The 25,217-nt window shown below is 45.4% G+C and overlaps 1 protein-coding gene across 9 annotated transcripts in view, besides 3 other annotated features; it reads left to right on the top strand.

The window, feature by feature from the left end:
* Window positions 20,994–21,163: a silencer, noted in NCBI's record as "silent region_12129". NCBI's record gives its function as "represses an Ori minimal core promoter by ATAC-STARR-seq in GM12878 lymphoblastoid cells {active_cell/tissue: GM12878}" and the evidence as "EXISTENCE:reporter gene assay evidence [ECO:0000049][PMID:35858748]".
* Window positions 21,174–21,653: a silencer, noted in NCBI's record as "silent region_12128". NCBI's record gives its function as "represses an Ori minimal core promoter by ATAC-STARR-seq in GM12878 lymphoblastoid cells {active_cell/tissue: GM12878}" and the evidence as "EXISTENCE:reporter gene assay evidence [ECO:0000049][PMID:35858748]".
* Window positions 21,195–25,217, top strand: part of WIPF1 (WAS/WASL interacting protein family member 1) — a 123,340-nt gene continuing 119,317 nt past the window's right edge. For 8 of the 9 annotated variants that reach the window (NM_001375835.1, XM_047445756.1, XM_047445755.1 and 5 more), the window contains exon 1: window positions 21,195–21,334. The gene's annotated coding sequence lies outside the window, so the exon portion shown is untranslated. 9 annotated transcript variants of the gene reach the window in all.
* Window positions 22,014–22,063: an enhancer, noted in NCBI's record as "active region_16785". NCBI's record gives its function as "activates an Ori minimal core promoter by ATAC-STARR-seq in GM12878 lymphoblastoid cells {active_cell/tissue: GM12878}" and the evidence as "EXISTENCE:reporter gene assay evidence [ECO:0000049][PMID:35858748]".

Here is a 25,217-nt window from a genome sequence, read left to right as displayed (position 1 = left end):
TAATGTTAAAATTCAAGGTATGTTTTCTTTAGGCTTATATTTAAATAAGCTTGTATTTCCAACTCTTGCTGAATGACAGAAGTAAACATAATGTTACCATTTTGCTGTAAATGATGGAGAGAGGTTTGATAACCTTAACTTACAAAGAGTGGATGCAAATCAACAAGACACAGACAAACATCTGAACTGAAAAATGAGCACAGTATATGTTCATCAATTCACGAAGAAATATAATGTTTTAAATGGAAAATATTCATATCTAATTTGAAAATGCAAACCAAAACAAGATGCAATTTAAATTTTCACCTATCACACTGAACAAGTTTTGTGGGTTTTTAAATCATATTATAGAACTCAATGTTGAAAAGGGAGCATTAAAATGGCACTTTCCTACAATCTGATGGCAGTAAGTATAAACTGGCACAATCTTTTGGGAACGTAATCTGACAATATGTCTCAAAGACATGACATGTGTGTGCATGCACAATTATGCACATACAAGCATAAAACTTTATTACGCCTCCAGGGATACATCCCAAGATCATCATGGATTTGTACAAAATTGAGAAGACTTAACTGGAAGCCACCAGAATCCCCAACCACAAGGGATTAGGTAACGAATTATTTCACATCCATTAAGTGTAAAGGGCAGATGCTCTCCCAGCCCCACTAAATGAATTAACTGACATTCTCCACTGTCCCATAAAACACTAGTAACTGACACAACTCTTTTGGAAAATCTGCATATTTGTTCTCTGAAAAGTTCAGCAGCATATCTGAGCTTTGTCTGCCCAAGACTTAGATACATTCATTCCAAGCATTTGTTTATGCCAGTTGTATTTGTTAGCAAGAGCCTGGAAAACTTTGCCAACAATCTAGGAGGTTGCATTGAGTGCCTTTAAATATTTTGTACATTCTCCAACCATTCTACTGAGATCAAAACTGGATATTATGGATATGGTTTATATAAGAAACTTGAATCTGTGAACCCACCCACTAAGAAAGGGTTTTCGGTCTAGAGCCAAAGGACTGGGGAATGGATGTACATTTGTTTGAGTTTAAAATGAAGCGTGTAGGTATGTGTCATTTTTATTATTTCCCATATTAACTCACTTTTTCAATAACTGATCATTTACAATCCCCCTTGCCATGTAAACATACAGTTGCTAAAAACATGGTAGAAAAAAATGACTGATATGAGGAAATACTGACAGTACAGCAAAGTGAAAAGGAAGATTTGAAATGGAATGTACACCTGTAATCCCAGCACTTTGGGAGGCAAAGGTGGGAGGATTGCTCAAGCCCAGGAGTTTGAGACAAGCCCTGGCAACGTAGTGAGACCCTGTCTCTACAAAACAAACAAATAAACAAAAAAGGAGCCTGGTGTGGTGGTGCCGGTCTGTAGACCTAGCTTCTTGGGAGGCTGAGGTGGGAGGATCACTTGAACCTGGGAGGTCGTGGCTTCAGTGAGCCATGGTATAACCATCACCACTGTGTAATTCCAGAAAATTTTCATCATCCCATCTCCATTATATTTTTTAAAGATTTATTTGGCTTTTTTTTTCCTCTTTGAGACAATGTCTCGCTCTGTCGCCCAGGCTGGAGTGCAGTGGCACGATCTCGGCTCACTGCAACCTCCCCAACCCGGATTCAAACGATTTTCTCCTGCCTCAGTCTCCTGAGTAGCTGGGATTACAGGCACCCACCACCATGCCCAGTTAATTTTTGTATTTTTAGTAAAGACTGGGTTTCACCATGTTGACCAGGCTGGTCTTGAGCTCCTGACCTCAGGTGATCCACCTGCCTGGGTCTCCCAAAGTGCTGGGATTATAGGCATGAGCCACCGCGCCCGGCCTGTTTGGCTTTTAATGAATCAAAGTACACTTGACTACATCCCATTAAATATAATTATTCTGTTTTATAAATACTAATAGTATTAACTTTGTGTCAGACACTGTTTTGAGTACTTTATAAATTACAAACCCCATGTGGAAAGTCTTAGCAGCAGCAGCAGCAGCTTCATGCTATTGATGAAGAAACTGAGACATGGCAAAGACAAGACTCTTGCCCAAGACTACACAGATAGATGTGGCAGAGCTGGGATTTGAACTCAAGACGTCTGAGTCCATACTCCTCAACACTCTCTGCTACCTCTTGAGCAGAGAATTAAAATTTGCCAACCAACCAACAGAAACAAACAAAAACACACAACCTTTAAGTACGAGTATGAAACGTCCCATTTTCTTCATCCTTTATTTATCAGTCACTCTCCCCTCGGCTGTGTTTTTTTTTTTTTTTTTTTTTCCAGACAGTGTCTCGCTCTGTCACCCAGGCTGGAGTGCAGTGGCACGATCTTGGCTCACTGCAACCTCCGCCTCCCGGGTTCAAGCGATTCTTCTGCCTCAGCCTCCTGAGTAGCTGGGATTACAGGCGCCCGCCACCACGCCCAGCTGATTTTTGTGTTTTTAGTAGAGACAGGGGCTCACCATGTTGGTCAGACTGGTCTCAAACTCCTGAACTCAGGTGATCCACCGCCTCGGCCTCCCAAAGTGCTGAGATTACAAGCATGAGCCACCACGCCTGGCCTGGCTGTGATTTTTTCTAAACACGAATGAACTGCTCACCACCAGCCTGCACTAGGCTCTGTTGGTCACATAGAAGTCAAGAAGGCATGGTCCTCGCCCCCAGGAAGTGAAGAGTATGAGACATCAATAGAAGGGAGAGAAGGTGATACATAAACATGGACATCCAGACATGGGAGGGTCTGTCTGGCCAATGGGGATCACAGACAGCTGTGACTTGTTCCAAAAAGAATCATTAATAATGATACCATTCTAGGGAGACCAAAGGAATTGTTTTCATTCTTCAAGATGAAAAATAGATTCCTTAACAAAGACTGAATTTGACTGTGATTTGGGAAAATGTTCTCTCACTTTAAGCTCTTTCTTTTCTTGATTTCATTCTCAGATCACTAAAGACACACTGATCTCTGTTTACCTTAGTAATGCGACCTCCCACATTTGAATGAACTATACACTGGCATTTATAGTGGGCTGTTTTTAGATGATAACAGCACCCTTTATTTGCTAGAAATGGTGACTCTGAACAATAGTATGCAGATTCGATTTTGGTAATTGAAGTTTTTTTAATGTACAATACTAGGGAGTTTGCTATGGAAAAATTTCTGAAGAGAATCCTTTAGTAAAGCAAGAAATTTTCAAAAATCATATTTTTGAAAATATGATTTTCAAAATCACCAGACCATGCGAGCAATTTGGGGCCTGCAGATGTGTCATCACCCTAATGTCCCTAGCCAATGAATGCTCAACAAATGTTGGAAAAATTAATTAAATTATTAATTTGCTTATTTTTTCCCCTAAGTTCTGATAGGTATGTCAGATGATCTTGATTCAAGGCACACCTGAATTTTGGCTACTTCATAGTCTATTCTTTGCAGCTCTTTGCAAAATAAATTGCACATTCTATGTCTGAGGCCTGGACTCAGCCAATATCTCAGGGAGACTTTGACCCTCATGAAAACCTGGGCACTCGGAAATGACCCTTGAATTGGCCTTGCTGCCCTCATGAGGTCCCAAGGCATTTTTATAAGCACAGCTTTCATCACTGGAAAATCCTGGGTTTATTTAAGGATCTGAAGAACACTCCAGACTGGCCTCGAGTATCTGTTCCTAAGACATTTAAAATATTATCTTTTTTCCCCTACTAATCATATAATTTAGGAGAAATTCATTTTGGAAAATAAGGTACTGCTGATAATACTTTTGTTGAGTTGTGATGGGAATTTTTGGTTGGTGGGCTATATTTGGGGAGGGTGGTTAGATAGCACAGTATACTATACCGTAGTTTGAGAAGAAATGGAGCAAACATACAGAAATATTTTAGTTGAATAAACTGGGCAGCAGCTCCCTCTTGTGTTGAACAGTAAGTACTACAGACACTTAATTAAAGTATGGGGAAGCATCCCTTCATGCACATTAACACTCCAAAACTGAGAGCTTTTCCCAGTAATTTTAAGTCCAAGAAAAGCATAGTGCTCAGTAACTTTTTTTATTTTACGCTATTTTATTTTAATTTATTTTAATCTTTTTGAGACAAAGTCTCGTTCTGTCGCCCAGGCTCGTGTGCCTTGGCATGATCATGGCTCACTCCAGCCTCAACCTTCTGGGCTCAAGCAGATCCTCCCACCTGAGCCTCCTGAGTAGCTGGGGCTACAAGTACGTGCCACCATGCCTGGTTAATTTTTGTATTTTTTGTAGAGACGGGGTCTCCCTATGTTGCCCAGGCTGGTCTTGAATTCCTCAGCTCAAGGGGTCCGCCTTCCTCAGCCCTGCAATGTGCTGGAATTCCAGGTGTGAGCCACCACGCTTGGCCAACTCTTGATTCTAATAGCACATCCACTGCCATTCATTTTTATTTAATTAATTTTTCCAACATTTGTTGAGCATTCACTGGCTGCCAGGAACTAGGGACATTAGGGTGATGACACAGCTGCAGGCCCCAAATTGCTCACACGCTCTGGTCCATCTAATGCCACTTCTTCTCATAATGCTGGTCCCCTGTCAACGGTGACCTGTGCCTCCTCAAACTGCCCCCTTCCTCTTCTCATCTCCCACCCCTACCCTACGACTAAGTCCAGCTCAGGCCTGTTCCCCCTGCCTCCCCTTGGTTGCAGCCAGTTGTTTTCTTGTCTTGTAACCCTTCCTGGATAATAACTCCTTTGAGGGCAGCAGCCCAGGGTCATCCAGTCTCAGTTTCCCTGCAGTCCCTCGTTCAGCATTAGTCCAGTTCATATTCAAATGCGTATTTGTTCCATTTAATTTAATTCAAACAAATAAAAAAGCAACAGATCCCCACAGCTATTAATAGCTTAAAAAGGGTTCCAATGAAGAACTGTATTTGACCTCTTTGTATGCATAACCATCAAAAGTGGAGTATGTAGCTATTGTTTTGTTGCTGCTGTGAATCCAAAATATCTGAGACAGGCCTCAACCAATTTAGAAATTTACTTTGCCAAAGTTAAGGATGCGCCCGTGACACAGCCTCGGTGGTCCTGACACCATATGCCCAAGGTGGTTGGGTACAGCTTGCTTTTATATATTTTAGGGAGACATGAGACATCAATCAATATGCGTAAGATGTATATTGGTTCAGTCCAGTAAAGCGGGACAACTAGAAGGAGGGGCGGGCTGGGGTGGGAGGGGTGTCTTCCAGGCCATAGGTAGATAAGAGACAAAAGGTTGCATTCTTTTGAGTCCTTGATCAGCCTTCCACTGAGTCTGGCTCAGTGAATCTGCATTTTTACATAGACAGCAGGGCAGAGGAAGCAATCAGATATGCATTTGTCTCCAGTAAGCAAAGGGATGACTTTCTGTCTAGCACCTGTGAAGATCAGCTATTATATTAGTCTACATTGCCAGGGTGAAATTCAACAGAACTGTTATAAGGTAAAAATCTTGAGGCCCACATGGAATTTCCTTGTGGGCAAATTGTGAGGGAGGTAGGTATCTCTTTAATCTCTGTAGCTATCTTATTTAGAAATTAAAATGGGAGGCAGGTTTGCTTGACATAGTTCCCAACTTGACTTTTCCCTTAGCTTAGTGATTTTGGGTTCCGGAGATTTATTTTCCTTTCACATGGTCAAAATGAATGTTGAATTTTTCTCATGCATTTCAGTGATAACATAACGACCCCAATGGAAGGTAAGATTTATTTTATCCTAGAAACCACGGTGTTGGAGAAATCCTGGCTGTCATAAAAGGATGCTGGATTCCAAAGTTGGACGCCATGCCAGGCATCGGAATGCCAATGTGTGCTCTGGCTGAGTCACTGTCCCACCCATTCCACATCTGGGATGGTCAAGCATCTCATCAGTGATTCCCAGTCATGGAGATTTTATGTAAAATATTTAAAATAATTTTTTGAGGTACAAACATGAGGTTTCCAATGTCTTACTTTGCTAAGTATAAACAGTTTCTTAAATCATCATTTATTATGATCATCGTTTTAAGGAAAAAATGAAATTTTAATACTGAAAAGTAGAAAGATCATAATCTCTAATAAAAAACAGTTCTTTCAACTGAATGCATGTTAACTAATTTTAGATCACTTATAGAATCTCAGAGATTTTTCCAAATCAGACCCCTCATTTTGCAGAAGAGAGAGTGGGGCTGAAATGTGTAAACCAAGGCAAGCTAATTATCTCTGCAGGTAGATAAGTGGCTTGTCCTGAATCATTCTAACAACCAGCCAGGGCACAGCCAAGAACCCCAGCAAGCACCTGTAGGCTCTCGCCTACCACTGCCCACAGTCAAGCCACACGCAGGGCCTCCTTTGGGCCATGGTAATGTACCTCCTCCCCTTAGAAGAAAACAGTAGCTGGCCTTACTGGACTTACCTGTCTATCTGAGGACAAGCTTTACTTTTACAGGATTCTGTGTAGGTCCTGGCTCAGCAAAGATGATATATATTCAGCATTGTGAATATATGTTACAGAATTCTGAATAACCAAGCACAAAATTCTGTGCTTGGTTAGGGGAATGAGCAAAACACTAGAAAATAAACTGCTTAGAGATTAACTGGGAGATGTTGGAGCCTTTTGGAGCCATCATTGAGCTTCAAAGTCTGCTGTGACCAACCCCTAGACCAGAGGTCCTCCACTAGGAGCGATTTGGTTGTCACAACCTACTGGGGACGGGGAGTGTTGCTGACATCTAGTGGGCAGAGGCCAGGGATGCAGCTAAACATCCTGCAACGCACAGGACAGAGCCACAACCAAGCATTGTCCTGCCCAAAATATTAAAATGCCCTTGAACAAGTAACTTTTTTTTTTTTTTTTTGCCTTGTAGTATGTGAGAGTGATCAAGAAATCAGGTCCCCGGGGTCAGGGGCCAGAGTGGAAACTGGCTGATGCCCAAACCTGTGGGAGGGAATTATGGGGTGAAAAGAAACTCTCGCATCCAGCAGAGGGAAAGGGGGGACAGAAGAGAGGAGTCCGGTGCGTGCCTCATGGCCACCACCCTTTACTCTCTTTCTCCCACTTCTGGACCCAGCCACATGGCTTGGTTGTTTGGGCAGTAGGGGAGTTTGTGGCATTGGCCTTGTGGTGTTCGAGGGAGGAAGGGGGAAGAGGGATCAGGCAACTGACCCTCCTTGCTGGGAGCAGCACTTCTCTTCTCTTCTGGCCACAAGGTGGACAGCACAGAACAACAGCTTGCAGTTGTCTCATGCTTAACTTTTTCCAAAGGCTTTCCAACTGCCTCTTCCACATAGTCATCTCCACACATCCAAGCCCTCTGATTTCCAGAAGACACCAAGGTTGGAATTTGCTTCCTCTTACTCCAGGACTAATATTAGAAAGGACATGAGTCCTCCTTTGGCTATAATGGTCTGGGCCCTGTCCTCCGTGGTCCCCAAGTTCTAGACGCAGGGAGTTCTTGCAGCTATCAGTCAGGCAGCAAGAGGCATTGAGTCTCTGTGGAACAGGGACTCACTTGGCTCACAGCGTGGACTCTGCTCAACACAGCCCATTGATGAGGCTAAAATGTGCTTTGAGCACGGCCTTGGCCTGACCCTTTGCTGCACGTTTCACTCCGTGCTTCAGCATCCCCAGGAGCTAGGCACAGCCATTGTTCCAATTTTAACAGATGAGAAATTAAGGCTTGGAACAGTTAGGTATCTGTGCAGGTCTCACGGCCACACCTTGCTCCAGGTGAGGGAGCCAGGGTGTGAATTCGGCAGTCTGGCTCCTGCTGAACTATGGCCCCAAGGTGTAAGGCTGTGAGGGGCCCACAGTGGCCCAAGCCTGGGCTGGAGAGCACAGATAGCAAGCGCTGAATAGCACTTACCACCCAAGGCACTTAAGCATGCCCTGACCCTACAAGGTAAGGGTTTATAGATGACAAACTAAGCATAAGGAGTGACAAAGTGCCCAAAGTGACACAGTTAGTAATGCCAGAGATGTCAGTGCTTTTTCATCAGCGTTTCTTGACCTTTAATGTGCATGCGCGTGATCACCTAGGGATCTTGTTAAATTGCAGATCCAGGCTCAGCCAGTCTGGGGTATCACCCAAAACCCTGCATTTCCAGCAAGCTTCACCGTGATGCCAATGCTGCTTGTCTGTGGGCCATGAGTTGAGCAGCCAGGCTTTACGCTATCCTTGCCTCTTGGTAGTTCAGCTGCCTTTTTATCCTCAGTTAGGCTTTCCCAAATAGCTCCATGTGTTAACAGTAATAATTTTAGCTAATATCTATTGCATGCTTACCGAATATCAGGCCCTGTATTAAGAGCTTTATATGGATTATCTCTTTGATTAAATGAGGTAGGATACAGTTATTGTCCCCATTTTATTTTTTCCCATTTTTCCTTTACTAAAAATGTTGGTTATAGAAGAGCAGCATCACAGTTAGTCATGATATCAAGTAGTCAGCTTATTTAATATAGCAGTATGATATTATACTAAAGATTAGCTATTATTCAGTGAATACTGGTATTGTCTCCATTTTACACATGAAGAAACTGAGGCTCAGAGAATTTAAAGAAATTGCTCAAGGTCACAAAGCCAGCAAGTGGCAGAGCTGGTCCCATTTGTCTTTGCAGGGAACTGGGCATTGCTAGCTCATTTTGTATATGGATAATAACTAGGTGGAGAGATTATTCGATGTTTTAAGGCAAGCCCTGGAATCCATCTGGTTCTCATAACACAAAACCTTTTCTATCTCTCCCTCCCTAACCATTAGCAAATGATTCCAGTAAGAGAAGTCTTCCCAAGCTAGTAGTCTCAGACAGATCTGACAGAGTCCTTAGCCAACCCATCATCATCCCCAGAGACTTGAACTAACTTTCTCAGCAAAGCTGTCTCCCTTTTCAAAGTCCATTATGCTGGCTAGAATCCCTGGAGGCCTGCAGCATCTCAGGGACGTAATCAGAAGTCTGCCCTACTCCTAGAAAGACACCTCTATTGCAGACAGGGAGCGCATCTCTCCAGAGATACTTATCAGTAACTTAATCAGTGGCAGGAGTGCCAGGTATGTCAAGCCCAAGACCTGATGTGAACTCTCAGTAATTCTATGCAAAAATCCACAAGGCATGACTTGTTTTCCTGTCCCCAGCCCCTTATTCCTCTCTTCCCCCAACTCCTCTCAGGTACTGTGCTGCTCCCTCTTTACTGCAGGCTCCTCTCTTAATTTCTCAAACTTGCTTTCCAGAAAGGCTCTCTTGTATACTAAGCCCATGCAAGAGCATCAATTAAAAAGAGCTTCAGTTAACAAGAGCATCAGTTAAGCCAGGTACTGTGAATGGGAATGGATGACTCAGACTAAGAAATTTCTGGCCTTGGGGAGTTTATAGTTTAGTGGGGGTAATAGATGTGGAAAGAATCTCAGTAGAAGGAGGTAGCTTCTCAAGTGTAGGCACATCAGTAGCACTACGGGAGCCCAGAGGGCTTCTCAGAAGAGATGACGTCACGGGTGAATTCTGAAGACTGGGTCAGAGGCAGCCAGTAGGAAAGGCATTCCAAGCAGAAGGAACAGCATGAGCAAAAGCACAGAAGGATGAAAACAGCTTTGGATGTGCAGAAGCAGTTCTGTACTTGGAGGCGTATGTATAGTTCTATAATTGGCTGAGGACAAGCTGAGAGAACAAAATAGGGTCAAGGAAGGCAGTGAATGCCACATCAAGGAACATGGGCTTGCTTCTCCATGCAGCTGTTCTCAAACCATGCCTCAGGGTCCATTGTGGAAGGCCAGGCATTTGAGCTTCTATCTCCAGCCCTCCCTGCCCTTCCAGGAGCAGCTCTGCCTTCATCTGCTTTAGGTATTGGGTGCTCTACATCATATTGTGTTAAGAAAGTTTCCTGTGGCCAAAAGACACGTGGAACCACTGTTGTACCTGATGAGACACCATGTCAAAGGAACTCAGGATTTCAGGGATCAGGGAGAGTTTGCAGTGGCGGTTTTCTCCCTTTAGGTGGGTGCCATGGGGAGCATTCTCTCTCTACAGGCCCAGAAGTGGCCGTTTCATTTCCCAGTTCCATTCTGTGATGAGTGAGAAGGCAGGAGCTGCTTCCTTCCTCCCAGGAAGTCAGTCCCTCTGGCCCAGCTGGTCCCTCCAGCCTCTCTGGGTCCATTCTCTCCAGTTTAGCCCTCAGGTCTTATCACTCCGGTGATCCTTAACAAGAAACTGGGCTTATAGGTATTGACAGCCCACACTGTGCTGTAGAACCAAACTTGCTGCTGACATCCATTGTTTCGAAGCTTGCTGGGATTCCCCATTTGCCCACCACTCCTTACCTCATTTACTAATTGCCTGTTTAAGCCATTCTTTTCTTCCTCTCCTGCAAGAGGACCTTTCTACCAGTGTTCCACACCTGCCTCTCTAGCCTGCCTGTCATTTGATCAGGTCATGAAATGTCCAGTTCACATAAGCCCTCCACAGAAACTGAGTCCCTCAGCCCCCATCCATCAGGGCTGCTGCTCTGCCCAACCCCTTTCTCTCACGCTGCCTGGCTGGTGCTGCCTGGATTCAGGAAGGCAGCCTCAGTAACTGATCCTCCAGCACCACCTTCCGAGGGCGCTCATCACTACAATGCCTGGGAATCACCAAGCCATAGGAAGTCTCCTTTTTTTTTTTCCTCCATAGGAAAGCACTAGTCCAGAGAGCTCCAAACATTTTCAATGTGCATAGTATCACCCTGACGGGTTGTGCTTGGCCACACTACTGGCCCAGATCCCACGCCTGCCAGGGGCAAGCCAGGTGCGGAGCAGTGAGGGTATGTGAATGAGCAAGTGCAGGATCCAGCCACTGCAGTGGGGCAGGCAGCTCCAGGTGCTAGCATGGGCACTGGCTCCCTGCAAGGCTGTGGCTGGACCAGGTGTACAGCAAGTGGCTTCCATTGTGGGCACCCGGGAACGCAGTGGTGCCTGGAAGCTTGGAGATGCCAGGACCTGCTGAGCCCCAAAGAGGGCATCACAGCCCTGGCTTGGGTAGCTCCTAGGTCTGGGCTCCCTGAAGGGCTGCAGCTCTTCTCTCCTTCTATCTTCTCTCCTTCTCATTGCCTGCAACGTGGTGACTGGGGGGGGGGGGGTCATGTTTTAGCCCTGTTTGTGTTACAGCTCTTTCAGTCCCACCATTTGGTAGGTCCCAAGTTCTTGTCCCACATCCAGGAAGAATGAGGTAAGCGGACAACTGAGGGTGAGCAAGATGAAGAGTTGCTTAATTGAGTCAAGTTCCACAAGGATGGAACCCATTTTGCCTGCCACCACGCAGATGAGCACTCCCCAGCAAGCTAATGACAGAGCTGGGTTCCACCCATTCTGGCACTCTCCTCACACTGATTTGCAATGGCTCTGCTATGGAGGAGGACGCTTTGTGTGAGGAGAGTGCCAGAATGGGTGGAACCCAGCTCTGTGATTAGCTTGTTGAGGAGTGCTCATCTGCATGGTGGCAGGCAAAATGGGTTCCATTCTTGTGGTAACAGCATCTCTGATTTCCTTTGGAACTCCTTCTTTCCCCATCTCAGTGCATATGTTTTGAGTGGGGCAGACACTCCCCATAGTTCTAGGGGGCACATGACTGGGCTGGCCAGTCAGTATATTGCATTCTTCCTGGCTCGAGGATGGGTTCTGGAATGGACACAAGGTCCAGTGTGACTCAGTCCAGGACTGGGGCCAGGAAAGAGAAGCTCTCTCCACTGAGATAATAGGATAATGTAAGCCTGAGTTGCCGAGGCCACCATAAGGAGAGGGCCTGTCTGACAGTGGGGCCCATTCAGAGACAAGCATAATGGAGAATGGGGACCAGTGAGCTGGAGTGACCAAATCCTGATGAGGTCACATAATCGAGGGGTCCAGCCCCATCTGACCTTTGCCTCTGGACTCTTCATGTACATGAGCCAATACATGCCACCTTTTGCTTAAGCTGGTTTGAAATTGGTGGCCCACTCCCTCAGGGCCTCAGTTTCTTCATCTGGCAAGTGAGAGGAGGAAAGCAGATGGCACTCACAAGTTTTTTCTAGCCCCTTCCTGTTTGAGGCTCAAGTGTATACTTTATTCCTTCTTACTTGCTCTTTGAAGACCATCTTCTGTCCATACTTATTTCCTTCTCTGTATTGTTTATATTTTTAATTTTCTGTACATTATGATGCTTTGACATCTTAAAAACCTTTCTGGCTGAGGGACAGACTGCTCCTCCTCCTGTGGATAGCCAAATCTTAGAGATAGCAAAAGCGCTCAACTGGGAACAACCCTGTGATATGCAAACTAACTAATCCAGAACAATGCCTCTTCTATCTGGCCATATACCCAAAAGGCAATATTCCTCTGCCTTTGCCATCCCAGGGACAGGTACCAGGCAATAAGGAACCATCCCTATAGCTCGGAGCCCTTGAAAATTATTCAAACTAGCCAGGCTTAAACTGCTTCCCCTGCACTGCCCTGCCTTTCCCACTGAAACTCCAAAAAAGGTCATGGCCTAGGCTCTCCCACCCATCCTGTCCCTTCTGCCCCTGACCCATGCTGGTGCTTTCCCATGTGGCCCTGCTGTGCCTCCTGTTTCTAGGATGTGAGATCATGGTAAACTTTTCTCCTGAACCTCTCCTGATCGCCTCTTGTGGCCACACCTGACTGACCATTACCTAAAAGAATACAAAACAATCTCCTTCTTGGCCTTTCCCTGGGCTGGTGCAGTTGGCAATTTGCCCTAAAAATGAGAAAAGGAAGTTACCAGAAGGAAGAAGCAGGACAAGGGGCTTTCTGTCCTTGGACTATTGAGTGTTAACCACAACAAAAATAAACCAATGCTGTTCGCTTCTTAAGAGGTGCTAGTCCTGTGTGTGCATTTGCATTGCAACAAGTAATTTTTTAAAGAGGATTTGTCCCACGTTTCTTTACTGATGGATTTTAATTTTTTATCTTCTAAATGTCCACCATAAGGGATCTATTAATATTTATGTTGAGAACCTTCCTGAGGATGAGTTCATCTAAGTCAATGTTAATTGATAGTATTCTTTGTGTGTGTGTATATCTTTTATCCTATTCCATTCCCCATCCCTCAATTTCCTATTATCTTTGGCTCTTCAAAATACTCTTGGAATGTTTTAATTAGTGCCCCCATTACCTTTTAACGAGTTGTCTCACCAGCTGGGCATGGTGGCTCATGCCTGTAATCCCAAAACTTTGGGAGGCCGAGGTGGGCGGATCACCTGAGGTCAGCAGTTCAAGACCAGCCTGGCCAACATGGTGAAACCCCATCTCTACTAAAAATACAAAAATTAGCTGGAGGCAGTAGCACGTGCCAGTAGTCCCAGATACTCAGGAGGCTGAGGCTAGAGAATCTCTTGAATCTGGGAGGTAGAGGTTGCAGTGAGCCGAGATCATGCCACTGCACTCCAGCCTGGGTGACAGAGAGAGATTCCATTTCAAAAAAAAAAAAAAGAGTTGTCCCCAGATCACTCATATTTTAACTGCATCTTCACACAGCATAAAAAAGCTAATTGATAAATATCAATTAGCACAGTAAAGTAAATGCAACCTTTCCTGACCTCTCCCATGTCTTCCCCTCCAGCAGGGTTAAAGCATGAAAGCAACTGTTCAAAAACACTCCAATTTGCACAGGGAGTCCCTGTGAATGTAGCCATCAGGAGGGAAAGGCCCGCCTTGAGCCAACTGGGTTCACCCATTTCTTGGCTATTGTATTGTCTCCACTTCTCCTCGGGCCCTCCAGCTGCACTGCGTTCTCTCCTGAAGTAAGGCTCCTGGATCCTTGTTATGGGTGGAGAACAACCTCTGGAAAACCTTGTGCCTTTGGCAGCCCCTCAGGTCTTCAGCGGACACCTTCATTCATACCTGACCAGTGAGCAATGACAGGCATCAGAAGACAGGAGCAAAGCAGACACCTTTCATGTCATTAAGTCCATTCTCCAGATAAAATAAAACCTGCAGCCCACATGGGCTTCCTGACACATCTACCCTGGATCTGCCAGTTATGAGTTTAAACCCCTGTACCTTTCTCACTGGTCCAAAGGTAAGGAGGACCCAGAATCAATGATTGGATCAAACAGCTCTGGAGGTATGCTTCCTGTCACCACCCCTCCCTGCCCACAATCCTGGAAACTCAGGATTAACTGCCTTTCAGTCCCTCTTTTATATGAAGGAACCATGGTATCCTGTTCCCAGGAAAGTCCCATTAGGGAGGAGCTGTGCCTGCCCAAGCCAGATGTTTTCCATTCACCCCTCCAGGCCACTGTCACCATTCTCCACCTGTTCCAGGCCAGGGAGGCTGATCTGCATGGACAGCGTTGTGGGTTTCCTGTCCTCTGGCTCCTGAGTGAGCTCACATGATGGGCGAGCTGGCAGGAGAGGAATAAAGTCAGGGTATTTACCCCTTTTTCCCTCATTCCACTGGGTCACCATGGCTTGTCATCATTCTTGCCTTATCTAGGGCTGCAATTCCTAGAGCTGAAGCCACCCTCCCCAAGTTCTGGTTCACATCCCCTCCTCTTCAGGCCCAGGGTGGTAATGGCCCCCTGCCGTTCTAGCTCTGCAGCGTGGCACCATCCCTTGTTCCTTTCCCTACACTCCTTTGTAAACAATTTCTTTACTAAGCCTTCCTATAGCACCTCATTTGAGAAGCTTTCTGTTTCCTGATGGAGACTGCCTGCCAAACAATCCAAACAGTAGCTTTAGTTAGCCACTTTTTGGTTCCTAATGTGATGCTAACAGGAACATGGGTGAGAGTACTGGACAATGATGATGATAGTCATGGTAGCAACAAAAACAATGAACTTTTCTTGAGTGTTTATTAAAGTCAGACACTATTTGTATTAGTTGACATGCATTAACTTACTTTCGGCCCACGACCCCTTAGTGAAGAGCAAGGAAGGAAGCCTCTAAGATGACCTCAATCACCAGGGCGAGCTGATATTCATATTTATGTGCCACACTCTTACCTTAAGTGTGGGTTGTATTTAGAGACTTGCTTCTAATGAGTAGAATACAGCACAGTGATGTGATGTCACTTTCAAGTTAGGTTACAAAAAGACTGTGGCTTCCATCTCACGTGTCCCCTCTTGCTCAGTCACTCTGAGGGAAAACAGTTGCCATGTTGTGAGCTGCCCCAGGGAGACATCCACATGGCAAGGAACTGCTCTCTCCAGCCAACAGCCAGTGAAGACCTGAATGTTGAAACAGCCATGCAAGTGAACTGGAAAGTAGCTCATCCTCCAGTCAAGCCTTGAGACTTGGCTGGCACCTTGACTGCAGCCTTGTGAGAGATCCTGAACCAAAAACACCCAGCTTAGTTACCAGATTCCTAACCCACAGACACTAGGAGACAATAAGTGTGTAAGTCACAAGTTTTAGAGTAGTTTGTTACACAGCAACACAAAATGAATACAAAGGGGGGTGCCATTATTATTGTCCTCATTACAGATACAGAAACTAAGGCTTAGATACCTGCCCTAGGTCACACTGGAAATCAAAAAGGCAAGATTGGTAGCCAGACAACCTCACTGAGCACTGATGCTCTTAACCATTGCGCATGAAACAGTCTATGAGGGAATTTCTTTATAAGAATTAGCTACTTCCGTTTTTGTATATTGTCATTGGAAGTACAGGCTGCTACCAACATTTTGGAGAGCAATTTAGTAGTATCTATCAAAAAGTGCAAACACTTCCATCTTGCAATTCTGACTACCTAATGGAAGTTACTTCTGTGAGTCAGGATACTAAGAAGAATGTAGATGCATGAGCATTTAAGAGCACGAGTGTTTATTATGAATTTTTAAAAGACATATAACTGGAAGTAACATAAATGTCCACTAAGAGGCGCTTTGGTTGAATTATGACACATTATACAGTAAAAGACTATGCAGTTCTTAAAAAAGAATGAGGTTGATTTATATTTAGAGAAATGGAAAGACAACCCTTGTTACCTGTGGTAGGCAGAATTCTAAGATTTTCATCCCCTGGTGTATGCACACTTTCTCTCACTTGTTCAGTCAAACACTGATCTAGATGCTGCCGTGAAGGGATTTTGTAGATGTGATTGGAGCTGCATTTAAGATAGGGAGATTATCTTCAATGGGCCTAGCATAATCAGCTGAGACCTTAAAAGGAACTAGGCTCTTCCAGGCAAAAGAGACTAGAAGTATGAGAGGGATTCCACATGAGGGAGATTCTCTGTTGCTGGCTATGAAGACGAAAGCCATGTTGCAAGGAATGCAGGTGGCTTCTAGGAGCTGAGAGCAGTCCCACAGGTGACAGCCAACAAGGTAACAGGGTCCTCAGTCCCACTACCATAAGGAATTGAATTCACAGGGGCCAGTGACCTGAATGAGCTTGGAAGTGGATTATTTTCTCCAGCACCTCCACATAAGAACTCAGCCCACCTGTGATACCTGTGAACTGAATCACACCATGTCCTGACTTCTACAGAGCCATGAAATAATAAATGGATGTTGTCTTGAGCTGCTAAATTTATGGTAATTTGTTACACAGCAACAGGAAATGAATGCAATAGATTATTTAGCGGAAAAAGAAAAATAAATTAGAAGAAGATGATGTACAATATAATCACATTCACCTGGCTTTCATTAAATATTTGTTGATGAAGAAAAATAAAAATACATAGAAAAAAAGACACAGGGAAGAATATATACCCTACCATTAGTGGTTATCTCTGGTGAATGGGATTGCAGGAGACTCACTTTCTATATTTTATGCTTATGGAATATTTGAATTGTTTAGAATGAGAACTATTTTTAGTAAGGGAAGAAAATGATAAAGTGAAAATATTTACTAAATTTGCTATCTCAGACTAAAGTTTAAATTTTATCTTGTTCAACTCTTACTGTCTTAAGTCTTTTTTTGGAATACGGTGTAGTGTAAATAAGTAAAATATCTAGCTCTCAAGAGCTCAGTCCTTTCAGTTTTGGATATATCTATTAAATATATGCTGAGCATTTTTTAGGTGCAAAGCAGCTTCCTTCCTTCCTTCCTTCCCAACACATCCTGATTCTTCACAGTATCCCTGGCCTAGCATGGTGCTGTCGTCCCACATAGCATTCCATTTCCTCCCTGCATTGATGCAGAAGAGAAAACCCAGGCTGTTAAACAGCCTTTAGCCAGATCTACCTGAACCTCAACAATTCCTTCCAACAATAGAAACAATATTTTTTTATTTTGCTATTTGGCACCAAGGAATCTGGATGCCAGTCAATTCAGGTCATTCACACCAGCAGAAGCTCAAAAGAGGGAACAATAATAGGAAGTAAAGCCAAGAGACAGTATTAAATAGTGGTTAAAACAAGGGTGTTAGCATCAAAATAATCTGGATTTAGAAGGTCACAAGCTGAGTGGTCTTGGGCAGGTTACCTAAGCTCTCTGAGTCACAGTTTTCTCATTTGTAAAATGAAGACAAATATCTAAATCACAAAGTTACTGTAAGAATTCAATGAGGTACTCTGTAAAAGCATCTCACTTATTCATCAAGTGGTAATGAATAGTGAGAATGTGCTGGAGCTGAGAAGACTGCGGTGAGCCAGGCAGGCAGGTCCCTTTGCCTACTCTCTCCCTCTAGACTGGGGCTACTATCTACTGGGGAACAAGTAATTACAATAAAAAAAAGCTTGTTATAAGAGGGGAAGTTCTAAGGCACCACTAAGCTAATTTAGAGGTCAAAGTAAGTCCCAAAATGGTAGTTATGAAATGGTAAGCAAATATATGTATTTAATGATATTGTGCCCTGCTTAGTTTGTCCTAGTTTGGCATCTCAACATCCTTCTATCTACCTCGCTTCTCCCTTTTCCCCAAGATCACTGTAACATTTCTAGCCTAGCTTAGTCTTCAAGCAGCATTCATTAAGTCATTTTTTCTTATTAACTCATTCATATCAAAGTATACATGACTACAAAGGTTTAGCATAATACTTTTGCATGCTACTAACTTCAATGTCTTCATTTTAAGCTGAAATTTGACATCACCTAAGGGAACAAGGTATCTGTTGAAGAATTTCAGGGTTTGATATTTTTTACCTTTAATTTTTTAACTTTTTAAAATAATTTCAGACTTATAAGTAAGTTGCAAAAACAGTAAAAATGTTGCCATATGCACTTCACCTAGCTTCCTCAAATGTTCACATCTTTCATAACCATAGGCAACTTATTGAAACCATCAGAGGCATGTGAACCAGAGCAACTCCACCTTAAATAGGAGCTGGGTAAAATGAGGCTGAGACCTACTGGGCTGTATTCCCAGACAGTTAAGGCATTCTAACTCACACAATGAGATAGGAGGTCAGCACAAGATACAGGTCATAAAGACCTTGTTGATAAAACAGGTTGCAGTAAAGAAGCCAGCTAAAACCCACCAAAACCAAGATGGCCACAAGAGTGACTTCTGGTGGTCCTCACTGCTACACTCCCACCATCACCATGACAGTTTACAAATGCCATGGCAACATCAAGAGGTTACCCTATATGGCCTAAAAAGGGGAGGCGTGAATAATCCACCCCTTGTTTAGCATAGCATCAAGAAATAACCATAAAAATGGACAACCAGCAGCCCTCAGGGCTGCTCTGTCTATGAAGTAGCCATTCTTTTATTTCTTTACCCTCTTAATAAACTTGCTTTCACTTTACCCTATGAACTCACCCTGAATTCTTTCTTGAGAGAGATCCAAGAGCCCTCTCTTGGGGTCTGGATTGGATCTCCTTTCCCGTAACAAAACCAGAAAACTATCACTGATAAAATACTATTTAGGTTTTGACCTAATTGAGAGAACTGTTAAAAATTGGAAGGGAGAGAAGCAGGGCCATTTTTGACAACTGATTACTGGCCTTATGAGTGATTTAAAACAGTAGACAATTCAGAACACAATTTATTTTTGGCTTTCAATGATGAAATGAAGGGGGAGTATTTTACCTTCCCAATTTTCTTTTGTGTATATCAACATTGAAATTCTCACAGATTCCTGAGAGACACAAACTCAAGAGAGTCCTTATCTCAACAAACATTTAATCAATTCCGTACAAGGTACTAGGAGCTCTGCTGAACACTAGGGAACCAAAGATAAGATTTCCTGTTCACTTGTGTGCCACTACTCTGCTCATCTTTAGGGAGATTATCCCATTTAATCCTTACAACAACCCCAGGAGATAGGAAATATTGTTATCCCTATTTTACTGGAGCAAAAAATTGAGGCTTGGAGAACTAGTAAGGGGACCAGGCAGCTCCTGGGTTTAATTTCCTTGCTAACCACAGTTAGTGCTACTGATATGTTTTCAAGTCTGGAGTAATATATTTATATATTAAACTGCTTGTCTTCATTTTATATAAAACATAATATATGTGTATTACCATAGAAATGGTTTTAAAAGAAAGGCAAATAGTTAATGGACCTTAAAAAGATGGGTACATTTAGACAAAAATTTGCCAATGGGAAGAGTTTCCCATGTTACTAAATGTCTTTCCCAGAGAGGTCATTGTATCTGTTAAAAGCATATCAAGATACACGTGTGCACACTGGAGTGGTACAGAAGCAGAGAAAGCCGGGAGTTAAGGTCCCTCAGCATGGTGTAACAATTCCGAAGTGCATCTATTTGTAACCGCCCAATGGGTTCACCTTGCCCGCTGCCTAGACAGAGCCGATTTACCAAGACTGGGGAATTGCAATGGAGAAAGACGGATTCACGCAGAGCCAGCTGTGCGGGAGACCAGAGTTTTATTATTACTAAAATCAGTCTCCCTGAGCATTCAGGGATGACTTTTTAAAGATAATTTGGCAGGCAGGGGCTTGAGAAGTGGGGAGTGCTGATTGACCAGGTTGGAGATGGAATCACAGGGGGTCGAAGTGAGTTTTTCTTGCTCTTTTCTGTTCCTGGGTGGGATGGGAGAACTGGTTAAGCCAGATTATCATTCTGGGTGGTGTCAGCTGATCCACTGAGTTCAGGGTCTGCAAAGTATCTCAAGCACAGATCTTAGGTTTTACAATAGTGATGTTATCCCCGGGAGCAATTTGGGGAGGTTCGGACTCTTGGAGACAGAGGCTGCATGACCCCTAAACTGTAATTTCTAGTCTTACAGCTAATTTGTTAGTCCTGCAAAGGCAGACTGGTCCCCAGGAAAGAAGGGGATCTTTTCAGGAAAGTGCTATTATCAATTTTGTTTCAGAGTAGGTCTGATTTCTTTCACTGTCACAATTTCCTCAGTTATAATTCTGCAAAGGTGGTTTTATATTCTCACCTTTCTGCTTTAATTCAAAGGGATACACAGCCTTGATATTTTAACAATATGATCCGATGGTTATTACACTGAGCAAGAACTTTTTGTTGTTATTCCTTTCAAATGCACACTCAGTAGCTATAGCGTCTTAGCGAGTGAATGTTAACTTTTCTTTGGGGCCTGGAGGTGGCAGCTCTCAGAGCTGGTCAGAACCCCCTGATGAGCAGGAGTTAGCTAGGGCAATGGAGTAGAGCTTCGGTTTTCTCCACATGTTTGCTGTGGATCCTACCGTATTTAAGGAAGTGGGTGGCTGATGATAAATCCATCCCCACTGGCAGCAAAACGACTCAATTCCAACCGACTTGTGAGGAGAGGCAGCATCTTTCCGAGGGAAGAGCAGCACGTTGTCCCCACATAGTGGGCAGGAGTCAGATGCGTGTGGACCTTGGCCCTCTGTGGGGTTCACCCCGATTTTAAATCCATTTTTAAAAATTAATTTGAATTTCAGATATCTGAAAGTTGGACACTCTTTTTTTGAGAGCAGACGGGAAAGCGTGGGAAAAGGCGTTCCTTCCGGCTCGAACAGAGGGAACACCCCCACCCGATCCCCCCGCCAGCAGCCGCAAGAAGGTGGAGAAGATTCAAGAGTTGGGGGGAAAGGCCCTGGGCTAGACTCCCCTTCCAGTTCCCGCCCCTCTGCAAACTCCTGTCCTCTTGCCTCGGTCCCCTCGCCGCGCAGGGGAGCGGGACTGAGGAAACTGCGGACTCCAGCCCCGACCATCCCGCCCCGCCGCGATCCTCTGCGGGCCGAAGCTGCAGGCGCAGAGCCCCATTGCTGGCGGGGCAGGCGGGCGCGCGGAGGGCAGGGCGCGGGCCGGCGGGGCCTCGCGGCGCGTCCACATGTGGCGGGGCGGCGGGGGGGCGGCGGCGCCGGAGGGGAGGGCCCACATCTCGGCGAAGTTCCCGGATGGTCGCAGCCTCCCGGCGCTGAGCGCTTTTCCTGCCCGCCCGGCTCAGCCCTGCGGACCCCGGGAGAAGTTTCCCAGAAAAAATGCCCAGCGCGGCGCGGGGCTGCGGAGTCGTCCGGAGCCGCTGCGCGGTAAGGGACGCGTCGCCTCTGGCGCGACCCGGGTTCCGGGCTCCCGGGGGCCGGGGGAGACGCCGGGAGGGGCTGGGCTCGACGGCGGGGCACGGAAGTGCCGCCTGGCACCGGTGACGCGGGTGGGGCGGCTGGGGACGTCGAGGCCGCGTCCCCTGCGAGCGGTGGGCGCGGGCGCGCGGCCTCGGGAGGGGCGCAATTCCAGGCCAGCGGCCCGCGCGTTCTGCTGCCCGCTGATGGCCCGGGGAGGAAGGGGCCGTGGACAGCCTGGGTCCCGCGCCTCGGGCTGAGCTCACCGCTGGACTCCGCGGACCCGGGGCCGCCCCGTGGGGCTCGGGACCCACTATCTCCGTAGGTCTCGAGCAGGGGCTTCGCGGCGATGCCCTGGGGCTGCACCTACACCCCAGCTAGGACAGAGGGGGACGTTCGGGCATCCCCTGGGGCCGGCTCAAGTTCTGGCACCGCCCGCCTGCCTGTCTATGGGAACCGTGCCCCTCCCGCGCTCCAGCCCGCCTCCCTCCCGGCCCTCCCGGGCGGCCCGCTCGCCCCAGGTCGGCGTAGACGCGCGCGTTAGGGGTCTGCGTCGACCTTAGAGACATCTCCAGTCCCGGTCAGTGCTTTTCGCCCGGAGTGGGGACGGGGGTTGAGGGGGGGTGATCCCCCGAACTCTCCAGAGACAGCTTCACTTCAGTCTCGCGTCCCCTACCTTTTTCTACTATACATACTTTTCTTTTTAAAGAAAGAACTGTTAGCGTTGTGAGTGTAAGGGAAAGCAGCTGACCCAGTCGCTGTGAGCCTTTGTTAATCGCAAAGAGCTCTAAATCAGACCACTGGTGGTTGGTTAGACTTTGAGCTCTTTGGGATTAACAAAGGGTGTGGCTGTGTGAGGAACTGAGCCTGGTGAGGTCTTCTGGTCCTGCTTAAATCCCGATGGAGTATTCCTTCTTCAGCCACGGGCTCCTGGCCTTATTGAGTTCTCTGGGAAGCCTCTCAAGTTGGCTCAGTGACCAAGTGGACTTGGTCCCTTTTACTGAAAAGCGTGTGTCCGTCCTGCCCCCTGGATCGTCTCTGGACCCCACCCCACTCCCATTCCCCCATCCCTGGCTGCGTGTAGCCCCAGACTCCCGTCGGATGCAGCCGCAGAGCCCGTGAACAGATTCCACGCTGGGTGGGTTTTCTTTTGCCAGCTTCCCAAAGCAATTTCAAAACAATACTGTAGCTTCATTTTGAGTCGTTGGTAGATTTTTCCATCTTCAAAAATGCTTATTTTTGTAATGGATAAAATAACTCCAAGAAATGTTCTACTTCAGTTTGTAAATCACCTTTTAGGTTCTTGAGGTGAGAAAACCCTTGATAGGCTATCAGCACTCTGCCTATTAATCCCTTTGCAGTGCACACAACACTGCCTTCTACTGTGACTGTGTGTGTCTACCTGCCTATCAGCCGCACAAGGCTGAGTTTCTCGGGGACCTGGAGGTGCTATAGTCTGCAAATCCCAGCCACCTGTGAGAGCCCATTACCTGTTGAATGGAAATGTTCAGACTAAACTCTGCAGATGTTATGAAACCAGTTCCGTAATATTGTCTTCCTCCCTGGGACTTACCCAACCCCTGCCATAACTTTGGCTCCATGAAAACACATCAACTCTTTGAGGTTGTGTGACGTAGTGCAAAGAGATTTGTAAGCAAGGTAAGATCAAATTCTGGGATATTTCAAGAGAATGAGACTTTCCTCCTGGGGGGATTCATGCCTCCTTCTATTTGTTCATTTTAAAAATTGTCTGTAATGTGTTCAACCACTTTCTGGTGCCCTTAGGCATATCATTACAATTTGAGCCTCACTTATCTCATCCAAGAAATGGGCTTGATAATCTTTGCTCTACATCCACTGCAGGGTATGAGGATCTAGTAGGATAATGGGGTGTGAAGGAAGCAGCAAAAGGAGTATGATACAGGGGCCATCCAGATACCATGCAGTGTGTAGCACCAAGACACGAAAGCTATAATGAGCAGAAAGGTGGGTGGTGAAGAGAGGGTAGTATGCCCTGACCTTGTACATTTACTGTCTCAGGTGCTATGGTCAGGCATGAGACCCTTTTAGCAGACAGTATTCATTACTGGGTCTGTGTCATTGTCTTTGCTATTTCAAGGTGTTCCTAACTATGGTTGTAATTTTAGGAACATAGTTGGTTTCCACAACACATACTGAGAGAATAAATGAAACAAAAGTGCCTTTTATTTGTTGCCATAACCCCTTCACTTTTAAGCATCTGATATTTGTCATTTTACCTCCCAGGGCTGTGGTCTTCCTGAAGCCTTCCCTCCAGTGTGGTCTACTGAATTCTTAATGGTTTCCACACAAAGCTCTCTCTGCTGCTGTTTCCCAGCAAGCCACAATTATACCATGGTTCTTGAAGGCTTGGTAGGCTTATTTATCCCTTGTGGCTAGCAGGGACCCACGTCGAATCAGGTCACAGTTGGAATCAAGCCAGATACTCATTGAGTATTGTGGGTCCCTGCTAGAGGTTATAGCTATCCTCTGTGCTAGGTAAGGGTAGAAAGGAAGATGTAGCTCAGAAAGAGATGAAGTCTGCGCCTGAATGCTTACTTTCTGGTAGAGATGAGACATGGTTTCAAACAGCAGGTATGCAGGCAGAATTTGGTAAATAAGGTAAAAAAGGTACAGACCAAATACAGGGAACAGGGAATTCAGAGGAGTCCAGCTGGATGGAGGCACTCCTTCATTCGTTTGTCCACTTAACAAATATTTATTAAGTGTTTACTGTGTGCCAGGCATCGAAAGATTAATCAGCACATTCACACCGTGTCCCACCATCTCTTCTCCAATTGAGGAACAGTTTAGGCTTCACCTCCCTTTGACAGATGAATACTTCCTCACTCAGCTCTAACTTTTGTTCACTAGGGCGGACATTTGTCAGTTGTTCCTCACTCTGTAGGTATTATGGTCAGGTCAAAATAACTTAAGTCTGTCCCTTGTATAGTTTTGAGTAATGAAAACTCTAGGTGTACCAAAGCCCCCAGAATATCTTCAGTTAGTTGAGTGATGCTATTCTGCTTAATACACTTTAACTAGTATGCTAATCCTTAGCCATGGGTGTGACGAGAAGCTTATAAAGGTGTGATTCTATAAGTCTGTGGTAAGGCCCAGGAATCCATTTTTTGAAAACTTCCCCAGGTGATGCTGATGTGCTACCAGAGGGCAGAGTTTCCTAATGGGTAAAGCATGGGCCAGTCCCAATGCTGTCTTTTACAAATTCTTTGTATCTTCACCTTTTTTTTTTTTTTTGAGACAAATTTTTACTCTGTTGCTCAGGCTGGAGTGCAATGGCATGATCTCAGCTCACTGCAACCTCTGCCTCCCAGGCTCAAGTGATTCTTCTGCCTCAGCCTCCCAAGTAGCTGGGATTACAGGAGTGTGCACCACGCCCGGCTAATTTTTGTATTTTTAGTAGAGATGGTGTTTCACCACGTTGGTCAGGCTGGTCTCAAACTCCTGACCTCGTGATCGGCCTATCTCGGCCTCCCAAAGTGCTGGGATTACAGCCGTGAGCCACCGCACCCAGCCCTGTATCTTCAATTTTGAAATGAGAGTAACACCCCTTCTGTAAAAGGATTGTTCTAAGGGTCAGATGAGGTGATGTATGTGAATTACTTAGCAGATTGGCTGGGACAGTGTCACTGCTCAGTATTTGTGGACTATTATTATTATTAGCATTAGCATTACATTTATCAGTGTTAGCCTGAACAAAATACTGTTGGCATTCCTTTCTCCATAGGTAAATACCAAAAAAGCCTAAACGCAGGAACTGCTTTCGATGTAAATTAACATAGAACAATAACCCCTTAGCTGTCTGTAGTTTACC

The sequence above is a fragment of the Homo sapiens genome, chromosome 2, assembly GCF_000001405.40.
Source record: "Homo sapiens chromosome 2, GRCh38.p14 Primary Assembly".
Classification (NCBI taxonomy): Eukaryota; Metazoa; Chordata; class Mammalia; order Primates; family Hominidae; genus Homo; species Homo sapiens.
Note: the sequence above shows the minus strand (reverse complement) of the source record. Positions and strands in the feature narration are given on the sequence as shown.